The sequence below is a fragment of the Homo sapiens genome, chromosome 13 (assembly GCF_000001405.40).
Source record: "Homo sapiens chromosome 13, GRCh38.p14 Primary Assembly".
Taxonomy (NCBI): Eukaryota; Metazoa; Chordata; class Mammalia; order Primates; family Hominidae; genus Homo; species Homo sapiens.
In genome coordinates, this window is record NC_000013.11 from 19,986,503 (window position 1) to 20,011,753 (window position 25,251).

At 38.5% G+C, this 25,251-nt stretch overlaps 1 protein-coding gene across 37 annotated transcripts in view; it reads left to right on the forward strand.

The window, feature by feature from the left end:
* Positions 1-25,251, forward strand: part of ZMYM2 (zinc finger MYM-type containing 2) — a 225,276-nt gene that overhangs the window by 122,663 nt on the left and 77,362 nt on the right. For 23 of the 37 annotated variants that reach the window (NR_148365.2, XM_047430584.1, XM_047430585.1 and 20 more), the window contains 4 exons: positions 6,561-7,417; positions 16,348-16,633; positions 18,572-18,737; positions 19,872-20,084. Coding sequence is in view for 36 of the 37 variants with exons in the window: in XM_047430584.1 (XP_047286540.1) it covers positions 6,561-7,417; positions 16,348-16,633; positions 18,572-18,737; positions 19,872-20,084 (1,522 nt within the window). In the remaining variant the exon portion in view is untranslated. The remainder of the gene's footprint in view (positions 1-6,560; positions 7,418-16,347; positions 16,634-18,571; positions 18,738-19,871; positions 20,085-25,251) is intronic. The other 14 variants (NM_001353163.2, XM_047430595.1, XM_047430594.1 and 11 more) reach the window with 1 other exon arrangement.

Here is a 25,251-nt window from a genome sequence, read left to right on the forward strand (position 1 = left end):
GTTTATAGCAAAAATAAGATATACTAAGGAGAAAGTTTCAGATAAGTCCTTTAGTTACTTTTAAATAAATTTGAAAAAAAAATTTTTAACATTTCTATTACAGAAAGTTTTAAAAATTGAAATATACTGAATAACATTTTCATTCAAAATTGTCATAACTAATTCAATTAAAATTTTTTAAATACAAGTACTGTCATCAGTAATAACTAACATTCTTTTAATGGTTATTATGGACCAAATATTCATGTCAAACACTATAGCAGCCCCTTAAAGTAGAATCATTATTATATCAATTGCACAGATTAAAAAAAAATCCTCAGCGGGGCACGGTGGCTCACACCTGTAATCACAGCACTTTGGAAGGCCGAGGCAGGTGGATCACTTGAAGTCAGGAGTTCGAGACCAGTCTGGCCAACATGGTGAAACCCCGTCTCTACTAAAAATACAAAAAAATTAGCCGGTCATGGTGGCTCATGCCTGTAATCCCAGCTACTCAGGAGGCTGAGGCAGGAAAATTGCTTGAACCTGGGAGGTGGAGGTTGCAGTGAGCTGTGATCGTGCCACTGCACTCCAGCCTGCAGCCTGGGCAAGAGAGCAAGGCTCCGTCTCAAAAAAAAAAAAAAAAAAAAAAAAAAAAATTTCAGCAGTTAAGTAAGCTGCTTAAAACCACAGCAAGAAAATGGTAGAGGTCAGGATTTAAATATTCACAGCTATTAAGCAAAATGAAATTAAATATTAATAATGTAAATAAACAATGCAGCTCTTATTTTTTTTTTCTTGAGACAGAGTCTCTCACCGTCGCCCAGGCTGGAGTGCAGTGGCGCAATCTCGGCTCACGGCAGAATCCACCTCCTTGGTTCAAGCGATTCTCCTGCCTCAGCCTCCCGAGTAGCTGGGATTAAAGGCGCCTGTCACCACGCCTGGCTAATTTTTTGTATTTTTGGTAGAGATGGGGTTTCACTGTTTTGGCCAGGCTGGTCTCAAACTCATGACCTCGTGATCTGCCCACCTGGGCCTCCCAAAGTGCTGGGATTACAGGCGTGAGGCACCGCACCCGGGCGCCCCGCTACGTGTGTGTGTGTGTGTGTGTGTGTGTATAGGAAAGATGGGGTTTTGTCGTGTGTGTGTGTGTGTGTGTGTGTGTGTGTGTGTGTGTATAGGAAAGATGGGGTTTTGTCATGTTGGCCAGGCTGGTCTCGAACTCCTGAGCTCAGACAATCTGCCCGCCTCAGCCTCTCAAAGTGCTAGGGTTACAGGCGTGAGCCACCGTGCCCAGCCTAATTTTTGTATTTTAGTAGAGACAGGGTTTCACCATGTTGTCCAGGCTGGGCTTGAACTCCAGAGCTCAATCTTCTTGCCTCAGCCTCCCAAAGTGTTGGGATTACAGGCGTGAGCCACTGCCCTCAGCCCATTTTCTTTAAAGCAGTAATAAATGTATCTTTTGCGATTTTCCAGTCTCAGCATGTCTTTCATCTGACAGCAGATAGACACACAGCTCTTTCTCTGAGAGGAATAGAGACTGGTTTTGAAACCGAGCTCTGTGTATAGTGTTTGAATCCTTTACTGTCTTGGGACCTTGGGCAGTTTTAATTAATGTGTGAGCTGCTGTTTTATTATAGAAAAAAATTCTGTTTTCTTTTAACTCAAAGGGGTTGTCACAGTTATGTGAGAATAAAATAAGACCTTGGTATTCTGTAAAATACTGTATGTTTTTGAAAATATTTCATTTTCTTACTTTGTTGAGTGGTAGAACAGTGCTCTTCTGACACTAGAACTTGGTTTATGGTCAGAGAATAATACAGTATATATAAACTAAAGGGCTAGAGTGTATACTTGGATAATTAAATAATGCTGTTACTTAAAAATAACTTTGATAGTTAAAGTGAACATAATTGGCTTTGGTTTCTGATCTTTCCTCAAATATTTGGGACAATTGTCTACTCTGTGCTCAAGCATTGTGTTAGGTCTTAGAGATTCAGTGAAAAGACGAGTTACGGCCGGGCATGGTGGCTCACTCACGCCTGTAATTCCAGCACTTTGGGAGGCTGAGGCGGGTGGATCACGAGGTCAAGAGATCAAGACCATCCTGGCCAACGTGGTGAAACCCCGTCTCTACTGAAAACACAAAAAATTAGCTGGGCGTGGTGGCGCATGCCTATGGTCTCAGCTACTCAGGAGGCTGAGGCAGGAGAAGTGCTTGAACCCAGGAGGTGGAGGTTGCGGTGAGCAAGATCGATTGCGCCACTGCATTCCAGCCTGGGTGACAGAGACTCCATCTCAAAAAAAAAGAAAAGACAAATTAATGATTCATTAAAAAGTTAGTATACCCATATTTGATGTCTGTGAAAAGTGCTTATTCTGCATCTCTTTTTGTATCTGGAGATTGCATCTTTGACTAGAATTTTGTCAACTGTATATCATCTTCCGCTAAGATGACTCCTTTTCCTTCCTTTATTCAGTCAGATGCTTAGCTGCATGAAACTCTAGATTAAAGCAGAATCCAAAGTGCATCTGGTTGACCACTCACCCTCCCCTGCGTAAACTTCTGCCCTTCCTAGCAAACTACTTCTGTCAGTATGATGTGATTCTCTCAAGAGTTTTTTTCCCCCCATGAATTTATGTACAAATATATATACTTCAGGGAAAATATCGTATATATAGGTTTTTGGGATATGCATAACATCACAGTAGTAATTTTCTTTGTGTTCTCTAACTTTTTAATTTTTAATTTTTGTGGGTACTTTGTAGGTGTTTTTGTGGGTACACTGTAGGTGTATTTATGAGTTACATGAGATTGTTTTTGTTTTTGTTTTCTTTTTGAGACAGAGTCTCACCCCATCACCCAGGCTGGAGTGCAGTGGTGCAGTCTCTGCTCCCTGCAACCTCCATGTCCCAGGTTCAAGCGATTTTCGTGCCTCAGCCTCCTGAGTAGCTGGAATTACAGGTGCATGCTACCATGCCCAGCTAATTTTTGTATTTTTAGTAGAGATGGGGTTTCACCATGTAGGCCAGACTGGTCTCTAACTCCGGACCTCAAGTGATCTGCCTGCCTCAGCCTCTGCCCGTCTACATGAGATGTTCTGATACAGGCATGCATTGTGTGATAATCACATCATGGAGAATGGAATATCCCTTCAACTATTTATCCTTTGTGTTGCAAATAATCCAGTTATACTCTTATTTTAAAATGTACAATTAGATTATTATTGACTATAGTCACCCTGTTGTGCTATCAAATAATAGGTCTTATTCTGTTTTTCTGTGCCCATTAACCCCCACCTCGCCACTACCCTTCTCAGCCTTTGCTAAGCATCCTTCTACTCTATCTCCATGAGTGTTCTGTAACTTTTAAAAGTCATCAGTATACCTTGTAGATTTTTTTTCATGTCAGTAAGAGATCTTGCTTTTAAAATACCCTAATCTGTTCACTTTTTCTCATCTCCCATCACCACCCTTTTTCAGCCACTGTCATCTCTCACTTGGACCATTTCAATGGCCATCTAGTTTGTTTCTTTGCTTCCAGTTTTTCCCTCTTGTTCCCACATAGCAGCCACAGTGATCTATTTAAAACCTGAGATTGTATCACCTCTTTGCTGGAAACATGGCAGTGTTTCCTGTTCCAGTAAAATCCAAACTTTCACCTTTAGTTAGAATTAATGCTTTCTAAGCTTAGGCAGGGCTGTTTACCTGTTTTGATTACTGATTTTTGCCATGTGCCTAGAAAGTATCTTGTGCATACTAGGTGCTCTGTAAATCTGTTAAATGTAATTAATGAATTAGCTAGTTGGCCTTGATGTGTTATTCTCTGCCTGTTTATCTCATTTTATCCTCCTCTTTGCTTCTTACTTTGATCTGCCACATTGGCTTTATTCTGCTGCTTGGATTGGCCAACTTCATTCCCTCTAGGCTTTGCAGAAGCTGTTTTCTTTGCCTGGAATATCCTGTCCCCAGTTTTCTCACAGCTGAATCTTATCATTTCGTATTTCAGTGTAAATGTCACTTGCTTAAAGAGATGTTCTCTGATCACCAAACTAGTTATCTCTTCACCTTCTGTTATTCTGTTTAAAAGTTTTTAAATTTAGTTTAAAAAAAAGTGATAAATCACGTGGCCCAAAATTAAGAAAATGCTACAAGACGTACAGTGAAAAATGCCTCTACCACTGTCATCTGTAAATCAAAGCAATACATATTAGTCTCTTTTTTATCCTTTCAGAGGCTCTTTAAATGAAGTGTTTTTAAACCAGTCTTTAAGAACTATATAGCCAGTATCTCCTCATCTTTTCAGATAATACACTATGAAAATTAGGCCAAACCACTGTATATAAGCCACTTCAACTTCCCATTCATCCTATCTACAATTTAATCTATAGTCTATACTTGCCCTTCAGTTTTACCTCTTCTAGTTGGTTCCCCTTGCATTTTGCCCCCCAAGTTTGATCTGTGAGATCAAAATGGTTCTTGTTCAGAGTTAGTGATATTACCACCTGAGCCCATGATCTGTCTCATCTCCATTTGCTCAGTAACTTTGTCCTAGAAATTTTCTCTCTGTGTGTGTGTGTGTGTACGTATGTATTTTCTGTGTGTGTGTGTGTGTGTGTGTGTGTGTGTGTGTACGTATGTGTTTTCTTTTGAGACAGGGTTTGCTCTGTTGCCCAGGCTGGAATATAGTGGCACAATCGTAGCTCACTGCAACCTCGAACTCCTGGGCTCAAGTGATCTTCCTGCCTCAGCCTCCTAAGTAGCCAGGACTACAGATGTGCGCCACCATGACTGGCTGACTTTTAAATTTTAGTATTTAGTAGATTTGAGGTCTTGTTATGTTGCTCAGGCTGGTCTCGAACTCCTGGGCTCAAGCAGTCCTCCCACCTCAGCCTCCCAAAATGCTAGGATTACAGGTATGAGCCATTGTGTCTGGCCTGAGGTTATCTTCTTAACTCTGCTATTTTCTTTGACTTCAGCACAACCTGGCATATAGGAGGTGCTTAGAAAATATTAGTTGAATATAGCAGAATGATGAGTTTTGAACTCTTGAGTTTTAGAGACCTGGGTATTCAACCTAGCTGTGTGACTTGGGCAAGAGAGTTAGCATCTGTAAGCCAGAATTTCTTTTCTTTTCTTTTTCTTTTTTTTTTTTTTTTCCCATTTTGAGACAGGTTCTCACTCTGTAGCTCAGGCTGGAGTGCAAGGGCACAATCATGGCTGACATCAGCCTCAAACTCCCGGCCTCAGATGATTCTCCTCTTCAGTCTCCTGAGTAGTTGGGACTACAGGCATGTGCTAACATGCCCGGCTAATTTTTGTATTTTTTGTAGAGATGGGGTTTTGTCATGTTGCCCAGGCTGGTCTCAAACTCCTGGGCTCAAGTGATCTGCCCACCTCAGCCTCCCAATGGTCACACTGCCTTCTCTTTTACTTGTAGTCTCCCTCTGCATGTCTTTTATAAGGGTACTTGTGAGTACATTTGTGACCCACTCAGGTAATCCCATATAATCTCACTTGAAAATCCTTAACATTAATCATATCTGCAAAGTCCCTTTTTCCATGTAAGGTTAACATTTGTAGGTTCCAGGAATGGGGACCTGATATCTTTGGTGACCTTTATTCAGCCTGCTACTGGGATATAAAGCACACAGCATAGTGCCTGGCAAAAAAAACAATTTATGCTTTCTGGATAGGGTCAAAAAAGATTAAAATTTTCAGAAAGATTTAATTGTACAATTAATGGGAGCCAGAGAATATGAGAAAAGTGGGTTAAAAAAAGATGAGATGGCCAGGCACAATGGCCCATGCCTGTAATCCCAGCACTTTGGGAGGCTGAGGCCGAGTTCAGGGGATCTCTTGAGCCTAGGAATTTTGAGACCAGCCAGGGCAACATAGTGAGACCTCGTCTCTACCTAAATAAATAAATAAATAAATTAGCCAGGTGTGGTGGCGATGGCCTGTAGTCCCAGCTACTTGGAGGTGGGAGGATCGCCTTAACCTGGGAGGTCAAGGCTGTAGTGAGCCATGGTCACAACGCTGCACTCCAGCCTGGGTGACAGAACGAGACCCTGTCCTTCCCCACCCCCCAAAAAAGATGAGGTAAGGGAAAGGATTATAGCATGTGACTTTATATGATACAGTGAATAAATGGGATAAGTGTATAATGAAGTAATTATTTTTTGTCAGATTTTGATTTTTTTTTTTTCCTGTTCAGATGTGTGGGAGGATTTATCCATATTTTTAGTGATAAATTTTATGGAGTAAATAGTGTACCCCTGAAAGGAGGTGGTGGTGGTGGTAGGAATATATTGCATATGATTACCATGAATATATTGCATATGATTAATTATCCAATAAAAATTGGATAATTGCCTTCCTTGTTATCCTGCAAAAGTTAACATGTAAACTATATGAAATGATTAATGAATGGATATCACATATTTTCCTGAATGTTAGACAAGAATCACTTCATTTAGAATAAAAATAAAATAAAAGTACCCTTTAAATCAATGGTTTCAGTTAGAGTAACATAAAAAGTCATACTGACATTTTAATTCTTTTTTCTATCTTCCTAACAGGTTCTTTGGCATGGACACAAGTTCAGTGGGAGGATTAGAATTGACTGATCAGACTCCTGTTTTATTAGGGAGTACGGCCATGGCAACTAGTCTCACGAATGTAGGAAACTCATTTAGTGGTCCAGCTAATCCTTTAGTGTCTAGATCTAATAAGTTTCAGAACTCGTCAGTGGAAGATGATGATGATGTTGTTTTTATCGAACCTGTACAACCTCCCCCACCTTCTGTACCAGTGGTAGCTGATCAAAGAACCATAACATTTACATCATCAAAAAATGAAGAACTACAAGGAAATGATTCCAAAATTACTCCTTCCTCAAAAGAGTTGGCATCTCAGAAGGGAAGTGTAAGTGAGACAATTGTCATTGATGATGAAGAGGACATGGAAACAAATCAAGGGCAAGAGAAAAATTCCTCCAATTTTATTGAACGAAGACCTCCTGAGACTAAAAACAGAACCAATGATGTGGATTTCTCCACTTCCAGTTTTTCAAGAAGTAAGGTAAATGCAGGAATGGGTAATAGTGGTATCACCACAGAACCAGACTCTGAAATTCAGATTGCTAATGTTACAACTTTAGAAACAGGTGTAAGCTCTGTGAATGATGGCCAATTAGAAAATACTGACGGGCGAGATATGAACTTAATGATTACACATGTAACATCACTGCAGAATACCAACTTGGGAGATGTCTCTAACGGACTGCAGTCAAGTAATTTTGGTGTTAATATACAAACATACACCCCATCTTTAACTTCACAGACCAAGACTGGAGTAGGACCTTTTAATCCTGGTAGAATGAATGTGGCAGGAGACGTTTTTCAGAATGGAGAATCTGCAACTCATCATAATCCTGGTAAGCAGTAAGAGATACTCTACTTCATGTAAATGAATTTAAACTTTTGGCTGCTGCTTTTTTCATTGTAGTAACTGGTATTACCTTGTTTAGTTTCATCATGTGAAATATGTGAATTATATTGAATTTTATCTTAAGTTTGGTATTTTAATAAGAATTGTAAAACCATGTATAGTATTTTTCTGTGGATTACTAAAAAGTTAATCATAAAGTAGTTTTATATTTAAAGGATTTAAGAAAAAAATACTCTTTACATTCATCACCAAAGTCTGATAATTTGGCCGGGCACGGCGGCTCACACCTGTAATCCCAGCACTTTGGGAGGCCAAGGTGGGTGGATTGCTTGAGCCCAGGAGTTCGAGACCAGTCTAGGCCACATAGCGAGACGCCATCTCTAAATTTAAAAAGCAAAACAAACAAAAGAATGAAGTGTGATAATTTAATATCTTGTTTGTCATGCATTACTTTTTGCTAATAGAATTTTTACTAGTGTTTTAGTATATAAATTAGAGAACCAAAAGATTAATATAATAGCACACTTAAAGAACAGTGTAATATTGTACAGTAGTTGCATTTAGATTTTTTTTTGAGATGGAGTCTTGCTCTGTCACCCAGGCTGGAGTGCAGTGGCGCAATCTTGGCTCACTGCAATCTCCGCCTCCTGTGTTCAAGCGATTCTCCTCCCTCAGCCTTTCAAGCAGCTGGGATTATAGGCGTCCACCACCACGCATGGCTAATTTTTGTATTTTGTATGGGGTTTTATCATGTTGGCCAGGCCAGGCTGGTCTCAAACTCCTGACCTCAGGTGATCTGCCCACCTCAGCCTCCCAAAATGCTGGGATTACAGGCGTGAGTCACTGCACCTGGCCGCATTTAGATTTATTTCTACTTTCCCTGTGCTTATTTAATTTAATTAATTAGTTAATTTTTTGGGACAGGGTCTCTCTCTGTCGCCCAGAGTGGAGTAGAGTGGCACAATCTCAGCTCACTGCAACCTCGACTTCTTGAGCTCAGGTGATCCTTCCATCGCAGCCTCCAGAGTAGCTGGGACCACAGGTGTGAGCCACCATGCCTGGCTAAATTAAAAAAAAAAAAAAAAATTATTTGTAGAGACGGAGTCTTACTGTGTTGCCCAGGCTGGTCTTATACTCCTGGGCTCAAACATTCCTTCTGCCTTGGCCTCCTAAAGTACTGGGATTCTAGGTATGAGCCACCATGCCCAGCCATTTTATTTTTTATTAAGAGTTGGCTAAGGTTTTATTTTTCTCACATTTGAAGAAAGCCAAACATATCATCCTTTTTTTCTTTTCTAAAACTACTTTAAAGTTATGATTGACATGCAAAAGGCTGTATATATTTAATGTCTACAACTCGATAATGCCGTGTTTATTTTTGACCACGTATCTTTAGCTTTTAGTTAGCATTTTACTACTAAAAAATTTTTAAAAATTATTTTTATTTTTCAAGGGCATAAATAAGCAATACTTTTTTTTCTTATTTATTTGTTTATTGACAGAGTCTTGCTGTATCGCCCAGGCTGGAGTGCAGTGGTGCAATCTCGGCTGACTGCAGCCTCTGCCTCCCTAGTAGCTGGAATTATAAATGTGTGCCACCATACCCAGCTAATTTTTGTATTTTTAGTAGAGACGGGGTTTCACCATGTTGGCCAGATTGGTCTTGAACTCGTGGCCTCAAGTGATCCATCTGCCTTGGCCTCTCAAAGTTCTGGGATTACAGGTGTGAGCCACTGTACCCAGCCCCCCACCTTTTTTTTTGAAGGTTGATAGTTTTCTTGACTATTTGAAATTGTTTTCTGTGAGCAGCCTTGTTCTGTGAAAACTTTAAAATATGGAAGTGATAAGAACTCTGTGCCAGCCTGGACAACGTGGTGAAAAAATACAAAATACTGAAAATATGAAAAGTTAGCTAGGCATAGTGGTGCACACCTGTGGTCCCAGCTACTTGGGGGGCTGAGGTGGGAGGATTCCTTGAGCCCCATAGGCAGAGGTTGCAGTGAGCCAGGATTGCACCACTGTATTCCAGCCTGGGTGACAAAGTGAGACCCTGTCTCAAAAACAAAACAAACTCTGTGACTTTTTCATGACATGTCTGTGGATGTCTCTCTCTCTCTTTAACCTCTCCCCCAATTCCTCTGTGTGTGTGTGTCTATCGGCGTTTCTCTCTCACATGCCTCTCTCTGACCCATTCTGTCATCATTTTAGGCTCATTATCCTAGGGATTGTGGAGAATAATGTGAAGTAACTAAAATCTAGGCAATGTAGAATGCTATATGAATTGCTAGTTATTTTTCTTATTTGTCGAGTAATGTCTGATTATTGAAGACTGCTTAGAAAATCTATAATTTAAAACAAGAGCTGGTGCCAAGCATGGTGGCTCATGCCTGTCATCCCAGCACTTTGGGAGACCAAGGCAGGAGGATCACTTGAGCTCAGGAGTTTCAGACCAGCCTCTGGGCAACAGAGCAAGACCTTGTCTCTACTAAAGATAAAAAAAAAACTAGCCAGGGCTGGTTGCGGTGGCTCAAGCCTGTAATCTCAGCATTTTGGGAGGTCAAGGTGGACGGATCATCTGAGGTCAGGAGTTTGAGACCAGCCTGGCCAACATGGTGAAACCCCATCTCAACTAAAATACAAAAATTAGTGGGGCATGGTGGTGCATGCCAGCTGCTCGGGAGGCTGAGGCACGATAATTTGTTGAACCTGGGAGGCGGAGGTTGCAGTGAGCAGAGATTGCACCACTGCACTCCAGCCTGGGCGACAGACTGAGACTCTGTCTCAAAAAACAAAACAAAAAAAACTAGCCAGGCATGGTGGTGCACACCTGTAGCCTCAGCTACTTGGGAGGCTGAAGCTGGAAGGTTGTTTTAAGTCTGGGAGATCAAGGCTGCAGTGAGCTATGATTGTGCCACTACACTCTAGCCCAGGCAGCAGAGTGAGACATTGTCTAAAACAAATAAAGAAAGCTGAGCATGAAGGTGTGGGGTGTGGAGCTGTTGAGATATGAGGATCCCTTGAAGCTGGGAGTTGGAGACTGTAGTGCTCTGTGCTGGTGCGTGTTAATAGCCAGCACACAGCAGCCTGCGCAACACAGTGAGACCCAATCATAGTCCTCCTGAGTAAAGATGACCACTATCAATGCTTTGGGTGGTTGTCTTTTAGTCTTTTTTTGTATTTTGTTAACCTAGTGGAAATGCAGATCTGTGTAGTTTTGTTGTCTGTTTTTTCCTCCACTGCATTTTCTCATACCATTAACTATTTATATAAGTTTTAATGGCTACACAATGGGTATTGATGTAACATTCCCATATTTGGCTTTTGCATTGTTTCCCATATTTTGCTGTTGTAGGTCTATGATGAAATATTTGTTCACATTCCTGATTATTTCCTTAGAGTATATTCCTACAAGTGAAGTTACTGGGCTAAATATTATGATTACTCCCATGCCCCTAACGATTTTTGGTTTAAAAATACATACCTGGTATATAGTAGTGTTAAAATAAATATGCTCTTTTTTACTCAGTTTTGAAATTTCTTGTTACTTCTAAAACTCCTTGTAGGTAGGTAGAAGTGTGTGTATGTGTGTATGGGTGTATGTGTGTGTTTGTATGAGCATTTTTAACTTACAGAAATACATTGTAATAATGCTTTTTAGAAAGCTCTTAGCAATTTATACTGTCATGAACTGTATGTTAGTCTTTCATTGTAACCTTGCCGCTTAAATGTGCTCAAATTAGTTTTAAAATAGCTATTTTTTCTTTCTTATATGTAAAAATATAAAGAAAATAATGTTGTCTTACCGCTGAGAATCAATTAATTAATAGTACATGTAATTCTAACCTGAGATCATAGCATAGGTACAGTTTTGCAACCATTCCTGCCATTCCTTTTAATACCTAGCAGTAGATCTTGAAATTTTGTTCATGTCAATATATGCGTGTGAAATTTGTCTATTTTGTATTTAGCTTGGTTCCAGTTTTTCCTACTTAGATAATTATTTTTAAGAATATTCTTGTGTATACATCTTGGGATACTTACTTCTTTAGGAATATTGCTGGATCAAAGAGACCGTAACATAAGAATTGTGTTCCTGTTTACTCAAACTCTGTAAACTCGTCATCAGAAAAACTGTACACAAAGAGACATATGAATTGGGTCTTGCATTTATATGCTGATTTTATTTGTAATAGAGAATAATGGATGAAGAGCTATAAAATCTTGGCTATTTATATTGGTTCTTGGACTAATTGTTAATTGGGAAAATTTACCAGCTATCCTTTCATGAAATCCCTTGTATGAAATTGAAGGTTTAGACAAAATGATTAGGCCTTTTCTATTCCTAAAAAATTTTTTTGATGTTGGAGGAAATAAAAATGTAAAACTAGGGCAAATGTAAATTGAAAATAGAGAAGCACCATTTTTTTCAGTGTCAAGGCAATAGATGCCCTTAAGTTTTGATAGGCTCTTTTAACTATGTATTCAAGTGACAAGCCTACAAAATAGAACACCCCGAGGAGCCACTATTTGTGTGGGCAAGAGCTGTTTCTTTTAGATATGTTCAAGCATAATTTTTGATTGGAGGCCTTTTTTCCTTTCTTAAGATGGAATTACCAGTTCTTCTAGTGACTTTCTTTCTCGTTGATTAGATTTTTACCCATTTATTGAAACTGGTCAGTTACTGTGATGATAGTTAAATAACAGAATTCCAGAATGCACTCTTTATTCTAATAAGTTTGGTGTGTTCTTGTTTTTGTTTCTCCAACTAAGGGGTATGAATACAGTCAGGTAAGATCTGAATAGCCCCTCGAAACCATTAGGTTGATGGAATGGGTCAGAACCAAAAAATCATCCTTTTTAAAGTTTTGGTAGTAAAGAAGTTTTCCCAAGCTCTGGTTGTATTTTGTACCGCAAGGAAAATAATTTTTTTCCTGTGGAAGGGCAGCTTTTATGTATGGAAGTTCAAAATACGGAGAAACTAGAAAGGAAAAAGAAATTTATGAGAGACCAGAGTAGTAGAAATTAGAAGTGGTAACCTGAAAAGTTTCAAAATGAAGATAGGTTATGGTATTGGTAGTGCCATGGGAGGCCTGCAGAACAGCAACTAGTGCAGCAAACTGGAGACTTCTACTAAACACTAAAGAAGCTTAGCACAAAAGAGAAAATATGTCCTCTAGCATTAATAGTTACCACACCTCAGTACTGTGCTGTGCTGAACCTTTGCAGTGGTAGAGGAATTTGACATTGGATTGGTCAGTACAGGCATACCTCATTTTATAGTACTTTGTTTATTGCACTTCACAGATAATTGCATTTTACACAAATTGAAGGTTTGTGGCAACATTGAGCCGAGTAAGTCTTTTGGCGCCACACTTCCAACATCATGTGGTCACTTCGTGTCTCTGTTTCACATTTTGGTAATTCTCACAATATTTCAGGCCTTTTCATTGTTATTATATCTGTTACGGTGATCTGTGATCAGTGATCTTTGATGTTACTATTGTAATTGTTTTGGATGCCACAAACCATACCCATATGAGAGTGAACCTAATTGATAAATGTTGTGTGTGTTCTAACTCTCCCTCTCCTTGGACCTCCCTGTTCCTTGAGACACAGCAATATTTAAATTAGGTCAGTTAATAACCCTATAATGGTTGCTAAGTGTTCAAGTGAAAGAAAACCTTACATTTCTTGCTTTAAATCAAAAGTTAGACCTGTTTAGGCTTAGTGAGGAATGCATGTTGAAAAGCCTAGAAAGGCTGAGAGCTAGGCCTCTTGAACCAAACAGCCAAATTGTAAATGCAAAGGAAAAGTTCTTGAAGGAAATTAAAACTGCTACTCCAGTGAACACAGGAATGATAACAAAGTGAAATAGCCTTTTTTTGAGACAGAGTCTCACTCTTACCCAGTCTGGAGTGCAGTGGTTTGAACTTGGCTCACTGCAGCCTCTGCCTCACAGGCTCAAGAGATCCTCCCATCTCAGCCTCCCGAGTATCTAGGACCATAAGAATGTGCCACCATGCCTGGTTAATTTTTAAAAAATATTTTTTGTGGAGACAGGGTTTCGCTATGTTGCCCAGGCTGCTCTCAAACTGCTCAAGCAATCCACCTGCTTCAGACCCCCAAAGTGCTGGGATTACAAGTGTGAGCCACCGTGCCCAGCCACAAAACAGCCTTATTGCTGATGTGGAGAAAGTTTAAGTGGTCTGGATAGAAGATCAAACCAACTATGACATTTCCTTAAGCCAAAGCTTAATCCAGAGTTAGGCGCTAACTCTTTTTCAGTTTTATGAGAACTGAGAGAGATAAGGAAACAAAAGAAAAGTTTGAAGCTAGTAAAGGTTGGTTCATGAGGTTTAAGGAAATAAGTCATCTCCATAACATAAACGTGCAAGGTGAAGCTGCAAGTGCTGACGTAGAAGTTGTAGCAAGTTCTCCAGAAGATCTAAGATAATTGATGTAGGTGGCAACATGAAACAACGGATTTTCAGTGTAGACAAAACAACTGATGGCTCTCTTGTTAGAGGTTAATATACTTAGTGACTGTAAGTTGAAGCCAGTGCTCATTTACCATTCTGAAAATTGTAGGGTCCTTAAGAATGATGATAAATGTACTCTGCCTGTGCTTTATCAGTGGAACAACAAAGCCCCGATGACAGCATGTGTGTTTACAGCATGGTTTACTGAATAGTTTAAACTAGTGTTGAGACCTTTTGTTCAGCAGAAATGATTCCTTTTAAACTATTACTGCCCAGTACACCTGGTCATCCAAGAGCTCTGATGGAGATGTACAAGGAGATGAGTGTTGTTTTCATACCTGCTACCACAATATTCATTCTGTAGCCTGTGGATCAAGGAGTAATTTTGACTTTTAAGTCTTACTATTTAAGAAATACATTTTGTAAGGCTATAACTGCCATAGATAGTGATTCCTCTGATGGATCTAGGCAAAGTAAATTAAAAGCCTTCTGGAAAGGATTCGCCATTCTCAGTGCCCTTATGAACATTTGTAATTCATGGGAGAAGGTCAAAACAGCATTATTAACCAGAGTTTGGAAGAAGTTGATTTCAACCCTCATGAATGATGGTGAAGGGTTCAAGACTTTAGTGGAGGAAGTAATTGTAGATGTGGTGGAAATAGCATGAGAACTAGAATTAGTAGTGGAACCTGAATGAGGCTGGGCATGGAGGCTCATGCCTGTAATCCCAGCACTTTGGGTGACTGAGGCAAATGGATCGGTTGAGGCCAGGAGTTCAAGACCAGCCTGGCCAACATGGTGAAACCCTGTCTTTACTAAAAATATAAAAATCAGCTAGGTGTGGTGGCACACACCTGTAATCCCAGCTGCTTGGGAGACTGAGGCATGAGAATTGCTTGATCCCAGGAGGTAGAGGTTGCAGTGGGCTAAGACTGCTCCACTGCTCTCCAGCCTGGGCTACAGAGAGAGACTGTCTCAAAAGAAAAAAAAAAAAAAAAAAGTAGAGCCCGAAGATGAGATTGAATTGCTGCAATCTCGTGATAAAACTTGCACAGATGAGGAGTTGCTTTTTATGGTTGAGCAAATAGAGTGGTTTCTTGAGATGAATCTATTCCTGGTGAAGATACTGTGAATGTTGTTGAAATGACAACAAAGGATTTAGAGTATTACGTAAACTTAGTTGATAAAGGAGTTGCAGGGTTTGAGAAGATTGACTCTGATTTTGAAAGAAGCTCTAGTGTGGGTAAACTGCTGTCATACAGCAGAAGAGTTCATTGATGGGGTAAAGATCATTGTTATCTTATTTTAAGAAATTGCCACAGCCAATTGGCAGCCACCATCGTGATCAGTCAGCAGCTATCAGCATTGAGGCAGGGCCCTCCACCAGCAGAAAGATTACAGCTTGATGAAAGCTCACATGATTAGTGTTTTTTAGCAATAAAGTATTTTTAAATTAAGATGTAGATTTTAAAAAGATATAATACTATTGTACACTTAATAGACTACATTATAGTGTAAACATAACATTTTTTGTGAAACCAAAAAAATTCCCATGTCTTGCTTTATTGCAGTATTAGCTTTATTGCAGTGATCTGGAGCTGAACCAGAAATATTTCTGAGATATGCCTGTATACATTGGTTTAATTCCATCATTTCTGTGTAACACTCTTTCTATGAGATTATGTGTTACATTTAAAGGCCATGAAACTAAACATATATGGAAAAGCTGTTCTTAAAATATGTCTTGGAAATAATTATAAACTTTATTAGACTTGCATTACATTTGTCAAAGGTTCTAGTTAGGATTTTATTATTATTTAATGTTGATATATGTGTTCCTTGCCTAAAGTGATATTTTATAAATACGTGAATACTTCCTGCTTAATAACTAGTGACATTTTTTAATACTTCCTATATGCCAGTTATTATGCTTTATTATATGTCTTACCTCATTTAATGTTTACCATTAGCATGAGGTTGATACCATTTCAGGCGCTCTGAAGAGTAAGGCACAGTTTAAGTAGCTTCCCAATCTTGTAAGCGATGGAGCTAGAATGTGAACCATTCTTTTTTCTTTTAATTAATTTTTTAAAAAATTGACAAAACTTGTATATTTATTTATTGTGTACAACATGTTGCTTTGAAGTAGATATACATTGTGGGAATGGCTAGATTGAGCTCTGAGTTACCCGACATACCCTTTTTTTGTGCTGAGAACACTTAAAATCTAATGTTAACTATTTTAAAGAATGTAGTGCATTGTTACCGTGACATTCTTACTCCAAAACTTGTGCTATATACCTCTCTGCTATGTTGCTGTTCCATTAACATCTTAAAATTGTACAAAATGGGAAGTTAATATTTCTCTGATATAAATTTTAATATGTATAAACAAACACTTGTTTCATTATTCTTTCTTGTGCATTTTGTTTTTAAGATTCTTGGATCTCCCAGTCAGCTTCATTTCCCCGTAATCAGAAACAACCAGGGGTGGACTCTTTATCACCAGTGGCCTCACTTCCTAAACAGATTTTCCAGCCGTCTGTCCAACAGCAGCCTACTAAACCAGTTAAAGTCACTTGTGCAAACTGCAAAAAACCTTTACAGAAGGGCCAGACAGCTTATCAACGAAAAGGATCAGCTCACCTCTTTTGTTCTACCACCTGCCTTTCTTCCTTCTCCCACAAGCCTGCTCCAAAGAAACTCTGTGTTATGTGTAAAAAGTAAGGTTTACCTTTCAACATAATTACATATAGTTGAATTTTGGAGTTGTAAAATTTTAAGAAAAGTGAAACAGATTTGTAATACCTTTGGAAACTTCCCTATCAAGTCCAGGTGGCATATGGATAAAAGGCTTCCTGTTTGGATGGCATTGGAGTTGATTTAGATAGGTCCTTATAATTAATTTTGTCTGTAATCTCCATTGGACTCTTTGATTTTGTAACAATACATACTTATTTACATGATTAATGAGAAGAAATTAGTTCTTATAGCCAAATAAAAATGCTAAGCAGTTTATGCGTGATTCTGTGTTAAAATTGGTTAAATTTTACCCTGTCTTCAGATCAAGATTATAAAATTGGCAAGTCTTTGGATTTTATATGTGTTTGTTTTGAACATTAAGTCATTAGAAATAGTATTTCAAGACTCAGGTACCAATTTTTAGCCAGCCTTAGAAAGGCAGGATCCTCTCTTCTACTGTTTTTTTCTTTTTCTTTTTCTTTTCTTTTTTTTTTTTTAGGCAGAGTCTCATTCTGTAGCCCAGGCTGGAGTGCAATGGTGCGATCTCAGCTCACTGCAGCCTCCACCTCCTGGGTCCTCCACCTCCTGGGTTCAAGCAGTTATCCTGCCTCAGCCTCCCGAGTAGTTAGGATTACAGGCTTTCGCCACCATGCCCAGCTAATTTTTGTATTTTTAGTACAGATGAGGTTTCAGCATATTGTCCAGACTGGTCTTCAGCTCCTGACCTCAGGTGATCTGCCCACCTCAGCCTCCCAAAGTGCTGGGATTATAGGCGTGAGCCACCATGCCCAGCCCTCTTCTGCTGTTTTTTGATCTAGCTTCACTGGTTAAAAATAGCTGGAATATGGTATGTTATATGCAAGGTAAAGCCTGGTGGCCTTTCTGTACCATATCTTGGAGCAGCTCAATTCTCCGAAGCTATATTTAGATCTTGAATTTTACAAAGAGCTTAGTGTTCTCTACATGTTTAATAAATTCAAATACTGAAACAATTGTTACACAGATTGCTTTGCAGTAGTAAACTTAAATACTACAGTGTAGGATCTTGAAAATCAGAATAAAAGGAAAACTTCAAAGGTCATCAGTATTGTCAGTTTTGTTTTGTTTTGTTTTTTTTTGAGACGGATTCTCGCTCTGTCGCCCTGGCTGGAGTGCAGTGGCGCTGATCTCCGCTCACTGCAAGCTCCGTCTCCTGGGTTCATGCCGTTCTCCTGCCTCAGCCTCCTGAGTAGCTGGGACTACAGGTGCCTGCCACCATGCCTGGCTAATTTTTTGTGTTTTTAGTAGAGACGGGGTTTCACCATGTTAGCCAGGATGGTCTCGATCTCCTGACCTCGTGATCCACCCGCCTCAGCCTCCCAAAGTGCTGGGATTACAGGCGTGAGCCACTGCGCTCAGCAGTATTGTCATTTTCTAATATTTCTATTTACTGTTGGAGAGCCATGTTAATAGTGGGTGAGGTTATTTGGGGATGGGGTGTGTGGGTATATTTAAGTTCAGTTATCCCTCTAGAACGTATACCATATTCCCCATAACCCAGATACCTCTTACTTTCTACTTATCCAGGGGAGGGAATTGAACAGGTTATACCTCAGTAAATTAATCCTTAACATTAATTCCATATAACTAATAACAGCTTTTCTTTTTTTAGTTTTCCCAATATTTGAAATCCTTTTTAGTGAATTTAAAGATAAATTGAGTAGCGGCAAAGATTTAATAGTATAAAATATTTTTGCTTCTCAAAAGTCTTTATTTCCAAACATATTTTATTAGGAATGTCTAATAAAAATGATTTATTAGATCCAAGAATGATGTTTGATTTGCAGGACTTAGTCTATAGAAATGAAAAATGTCACTTATGACTCTTATATTTGATTTCTTTTAAAATGGAATTTTAATATGTACCACTTATTTTTCAGAGATATAACTACAATGAAAGGAACCATTGTTGCTCAAGTGGATTCAAGTGAGTCCTTCCAGGAATTCTGTAGTACATCTTGTTTATCTCTCTATGAAGACAAACAGAATCCTACTAAAGGAGCTCTAAATAAATCAAGATGTACAATCTGTGGTAAACTAACTGAGGTTTGTATTTTTTTTCTTTATCATTTAATTCTAACAAATAGGAATATTTTAAACTTCATTTAAGAACTATTAGATAATCTTTTATCAGTTCCTTAAAAATGAATATATATAAAGACTATCTTATAAATATCCTATTATGTAATCTGATTCTCCCATAGGATCTTATCTTATAAATATCCTTTTATATAATCTGATTCTCCCAGAGGATGATTTCGGAAAAATCATTGTGTTAATTGCCTTGTTTTTCCCTGAGGTTGGGAACACTCACAGACAAAACCATAGTGTTGAGGTTGATTTTTGTCTAGTAATATATTTATTTAAACAAGCAGGCAGACTACACAAGAAATACTACAAATAATTTTGCTGAGAAGTAGAACGATTGGAATATTTTTTGATAACCTCACATTATTAATATTGTGTTAAATAAAAAGTAATCTGTTTATATATAAGTCATTTGAATGATTTATAATGGTTCTCCCCTCCTCATTTTTCTAGAGAAATGTACTTTATTTATAGTTTTTAAAAATTGGTCTAAAGATTTTTACTCTATGAAGTTTAATATCACCACTACCCAAACTTGGTTTTCTGTCATCTTCTGATACCTCTAGAGAAGTTTGTAGTGATGTCACTGATGGGTTTTTTTCTTTTTTCAGTGCCATACATGTGTTCCTGTGTGTATAAAAACAATTTAAATAATTATGAAAATGGGGCCAGGCTCAGTAGCTCACACCTATATAATCCTAGCACTTTGGGAAGCCAAGGTGGGAGGATCACTTGAGGCCAGGAGTTTGAAATCAGCCTGGGAAGCATAGTGGGACCCTATCCCTACCTAAAAGAAAAAACATTAGTTAGGCGTGGTTGTGTGTGTCTATAGTCTCAGCTACTCGGGAGGCTGAGGTAGGAGGATTGCTTGAGCCCAGGGGATTGAGGCTGCAGTCAGCTTTGATGGTGCCACTGTACTTTAGCCTGGGTAATGAGTGAGACCCTGTCTTTAAAAAAAAAAAAAAAATTTTTTTTTTCCTTTTCTCCAAACAAGCCTTATTAGGACATCTTTATTTCTGTTCAGAATGCTTTATTATTTAGCTACTTGTCAGATTGATCTGTTTTGTAAGATTTTGTTTATTTTTCTTTTAGATTCGCCATGAAGTCAGCTTTAAAAATATGACTCATAAGCTGTGCAGTGACCACTGCTTTAATAGATATAGAATGGCCAATGGTTTAATAATGAATTGCTGTGAACAGTGTGGAGAGTACTTGCCCAGTAAAGGTGCTGGAAATAATGTTCTGGTGATTGATGGTCAACAGAAAAGATTTTGCTGTCAAAGTTGTGTCAGTGAATACAAACAGGTAATTCATGTTCTAATCAAAATTGGGCATTCTTTAGAATGTTCTTGAAAGTGTTGTAATACTTTTACTCTAACAGTGTTTATTAACTGGCTTTATCTTAGAATTTCATTTAATTCCATTATTGTTGTCATATCATGGAGCATACTGAATGCATAGTGCTTTGTACCATTAAAGCTGAACCATCGTAAGTCAGGGACCATCTGTATTTATTCATTTGAGGTAGGTCATTTCCGTGATATAATGATGGAGTTAAGTCTGGGTAAACCCGTTGTAAGTTGGAAATGTCTTAGAATGCACCTTTGACCTAGGTATTTTCAACTTAGAATGGGTTTATCAGGATGTAACTCCATTCTTAGGGAACATCTGTGTATGTAGATTATTGGCAGTAAATTTAAGATTTTACATATAATGGTAAATGCTATCAGAATGATTCCTCTTTTGAATTTATTTCCTCTTTGGGAGTTGGAGAGGGGCTGCAAATATTTCAAACTTTTAAACCTCGGCTTGAAGTGGTCGTATTGTTTATATTTAAATTTTAAGGTTAATGTTGTTATCATTTTTTTTTTGAGACGGAGTTTTGCTCTTGTTTCCCAAGCTGGAGTGCGTTGGCGTGATCTCAGCTCACTGCAACCTCCGCCTCCCAGGTTCAAGTGATTCTCCTGCCTCAGCCTCCCAAGTAGCTGGGATTACAGGCATGCGCCACCACACCCGGCTAATTTTTTGTATTTTTAGTAGAAACGGGGTTTCACCGTGTTAGCCAGGCTGGTCTCGAACTCCTGACCCCAGGTGATCCACCTGCCTCAGCCTCCCAAAGTGGTGGGATTACAGGCGTGAACCACTGCACCCGTCCAGGTTAATGTTATTTTAAGGACTTTTTGATTTCTAGTTTTATTCCATTGCTCATTGGAAAGGTAGTCTGTGTGATTTCAATCTTCATAAATTTATTTATTAAATGTTTTATCAGAAATTATTATTGCTTTAAAGATCTTTTTGTTGTCTGTGGAGAAGGTTATATGAACTTTCTCCCTCTTTAGTTTTTTTTTTTTTTTTTTAAAGACAAGTTTCGCTCTGTTGCCCAGGCTGGAGTGCATTGGCGTAATTTTGGCTCACTGCAACTTCCACCTCCTGGGTTCAAGTGATTCTCCTGCCTCAGCCTCCTGAGTAGCTGGGATTACAGGCGTGCACCACCACGCTGAGCTAATTTTTGTGTTTTTACTAGAGATGGGGATTCACCATGTTGGCCAGGCTGGTCTCACACTCCTGAGCTCAAGTGGTCTCCGTGCCTCGGCCTCCCAAAGTGCTGGGATTACAGGCATGAGCTACCACACCTGGCCTTAGATTTATTAAGGTGTGAGTTATATAGTAGTCCTTTCTCACGCAAAGTTTTGTTTTTTGTGGTTTCAATTACTCACAGTCAGCTGCAGTTTCCAAATAGGTGAGCAGACTACAATAAGATAATTTCAGAAAGTAATTAATTATAGGTGAGTAGACTACAATTAAGATAATTTGAGAGAGATTAATTATAACTAACTATAATTGTTGTTGTTTTTTGTTTTGTTTTGAGACAGGGTCTTGCTCTGTTGCCCAAGCTGGAGTGCAGTGGTGCAATCTCAGCTCACTGCAGTCTACTTTTCCTGGGTTCAAATGATTCTCCTTGCTTCAGCCTCCTGAGTGGCTGGGATTACAGGCACATGCCACCATGCCCGACTAATTTTTGTATTTTTGGTAGCGATTGGGTTTCACCATGTTGTCCATGCTGGTCTCAAACTCCTGACCTCAAGTGATTTGCCCACCTCGGCCTTCCAAAGTGCTGGGATTACAGGCGTGAGCCATCATTCCCGCCCAATTGTTGTTAATCTCTTGCTGTGGCTAATTAGAAATTAAACTTTATCATAGGTATGTGTCTATGGGAAACGACATAGTATCAAAGGTTTCAGGCATCCACTGGGAGCCTCAGAATGTATCTCTCAAGGATAAGAGGTGGCACTGCCATATTAGTAGATTTCCTAATCTATTGAGCCATCCTTGTATTCCTAGAATAAACTATGCCAGATAATTATTTTTTCAAAAATGTGCATACATTCTGATGGCTAATACTTTATTTGGTACTTTTGCATTGATATTTATAAGTAAGATTGGTCTGTAATGTCCTTTTTTTTTGTGCATTCTTTAAGGTATCAGTGTTACATTTGCTTTATAAAAATGTCCAGAGGAAAATTCATTTCCTCATATACTTAAAGCAGTAAAAATGAAAATAAATGAATTAAATAGTCAACTGAAAAACCTGGAAAAAGAAAAATAAACTGAAACAGAAGAAAGGAAATAAAGATAAAAGGATAAACTAATTAGGAATTTTAAAATAGTATTAACATTGTTCAGAATGTTGCCTCTTTGAAAAATCAGGTCTTCAAAAACCAGGGAAAAAATACCCAATTGTTAATCAGGAAAAGAGGTTTAAAAACAGAAATACGTAAAATAAGAAATGACAAGGTAGATATGAAGATCAAAACAAAAGAACTTGACAAAAATCAGTCATAAGAACCAGTTTATTTAGCCCTATATAAAAATGTTGAACCTAGATTAATTTCCTGTGAAAATATAATTTCCCCAACTGGACTTCAGCGCAGACAAAATTAAGTGGACAAATTTCTATAGATGAAATAGAGATAATTATTAAAGTACTACCCCACAACAAGGACTAGGCTCTGATGTTTTCATAGGGGAATTCCATCAAATTTAAACAAGAAAATCTCAGTGCTATTTAAACAATTCCAGAGCATAAAAAGGACGGAAAGTAACTCATAAGGTTTTTAAACATTGTGGTAGACTATATGTAACATAAAATTTGCAGTTTTAAGTATTTTTAAGTATATAAGTGAGTGGCATTAGTTACATTTACAGTGTTGTGCTACCGTTGACTCTATTTCTGAAACTTTTTCATCATGCCATACAAAAACTGACATTAGCCAATAACTCCCATTTTTTTCTATCCCAGTCCTTGGTAACTTAGTACTTTCTGTCTCTATGAATTCGTATATTCTAGATATTCATGTAAGTGAAATTATATAATATTTGTCTTTTTGCATCTGGGTTATTTTACCTGAAAGCTGAAACATAATGCTTTCAGTTTCATCCATAGTATAGCCACGATCAGAACATCATTACTTTTTATGGCTGAATAGTATTCATTATATGTATATGCCACATTCTGTTTATCGATTTGTTGTCCCTATGATAGATGTTGCTTTGTTGCCACCTTTGACTATTGTGAATAATGCTGCAGTGAATATTGGTGTATAAATTTGATATAAGTATCCTGGTTTTCCATTCTTTTGGATGAGTGTGGATTTGCTCAGTCATAGGGTAATTCTGTGTTTTACCTTTTGAAGAATTGTCAAACTATTTTACACAACCGTACCATTTTATGTTCTCAGCAGCAATGTACAAGGCTTCTGTTTTCTCTATATCTTTGCCAACACTTGTTATTTTCCATGTTTTAAGCTTTTGATTTTTCTTGTAGATATCTTAGTGCATGTGCGGTGGTATCTCATGGTTTTGATTTGCATTTCCCTAATGACTAATGACAATGAACAATTTTTCTTTGTTGTTGTTGTTTTTTTTATTTTTGAGACAGAGTCTCGCTCTGTTACCCAGGTTGGAGTGCAGGTGCACAATCTTGGCTCACTGCAACCTCTGCTTCCTGGGCTCAAGGGATTCTTCTGTCTCAGCCTCCCGAGTAGCTGGGACCACAGGCACGGGCCACTACGCCTGTCTAATTTTTTGTATTTTTTTGGAGACATAGGGTTTCATTCGCCATGTTGTTCAGGCCTGGTCTCGAACTCCTAAGCTCAAGCCATCTGCCTGCCTTGGCCTTCCAAAGTGCTAGGATTACAGTGTGAGCCACCGTACCTGGCCAGTGAGCAATTTTTCATTTGCTTGTTGGCCATTTGTGTATCATCTTTGGAGAAGTATCTATTCAAGTCCTGTCTCTGTTTTTGAATTGGGTTTTGTAGTTCAGTTCTTTTTTCTCTTTTTGTTTTTTGTTTGTCTGTTTGTTTGTTTGTTTGTTTTTGAGATGGAGTCTCCCTCTGTTGCCCAGGCTGGAGTGCAGCAGCGAGATCTTGGCTCACTGTAGCCTCTGCCTCCTGGGTTCAAGTGATTCTCCTGCCTCAGCCTCCTGAGTAGCTAGGAGTACAGGTGCGTGCCACCACACCTGGCTAATTTTTGTATTTTTAATAGAGACGGGGTTTCACCATGTTGGTGAGGCTGGTCTCAAACTCCTGACATCGTAATCTGCCCGCCTCGGCCTCCCCAAGTGCTGGGATTATAGGCATGAGCCACTGCGCCTGGCCCTCTTTTATTTTTAGTTGATATGTAATACTTGTATATACGTAGGGGATACAGAGTGATGTTTTTATACATGTATAAAATGTGGAATGTTCAAATCAGGGTAATTAGGATAGCCATCACCCCAAAATTATTTTTTTATGTTGGGAACATTCGAAATTCTCTCTTTTAGCCTTTTGAATCTATCCAATAATAATTGTTAACTGTATTCATTCTATAGTGCTATGGAACAATAGAACTTACTCCTCCTATATAGCTATAATTTTGTATCCCTTCGTACTTTTGTTCCGGAGTTGAAGAAGTTCTTTATATCTTGTACAGTTTGAGTATCCCTTATCTGAAATGCTTGGGACCCAAAGTGTTTCAGATTTTAGGTTTTTCAAACTTTAGAATATTTACATTATACTTACATTCAAACAATCCACATCTGAAAAATCCAAAATGCAAAATGCTTCAATGAGCATTTCCTTTGAGCATCATGTTGGTAATTGAAAAGTTTTGGGTTTTAGAGCATTTCAGATTTTTTGCATTTGCGTTGCTCATTCTGTATATGTTTTGCAAATACTGTCTTCCATTATGTACGTTTTTGTTTTACTTTCTCAATAATGTCCTTTGATGTGCAGAAGTTTTTATTTTTTTGTTTTATTTTTTTTTTTTTTGAGGGGTGAAGGAGTCTTGCTCTGTCACCCAGGCTGGAGTGCAATGGCACGATCTTGGCTCAGTGCAACCTCTGCCTCCTTGGTTCAAGCGATTCTCTTGCCTCAGCCTCCCAAGTAGCTGGGATTACAGGTGTGTGCCACCATGCCTAATTTTTGTTTTT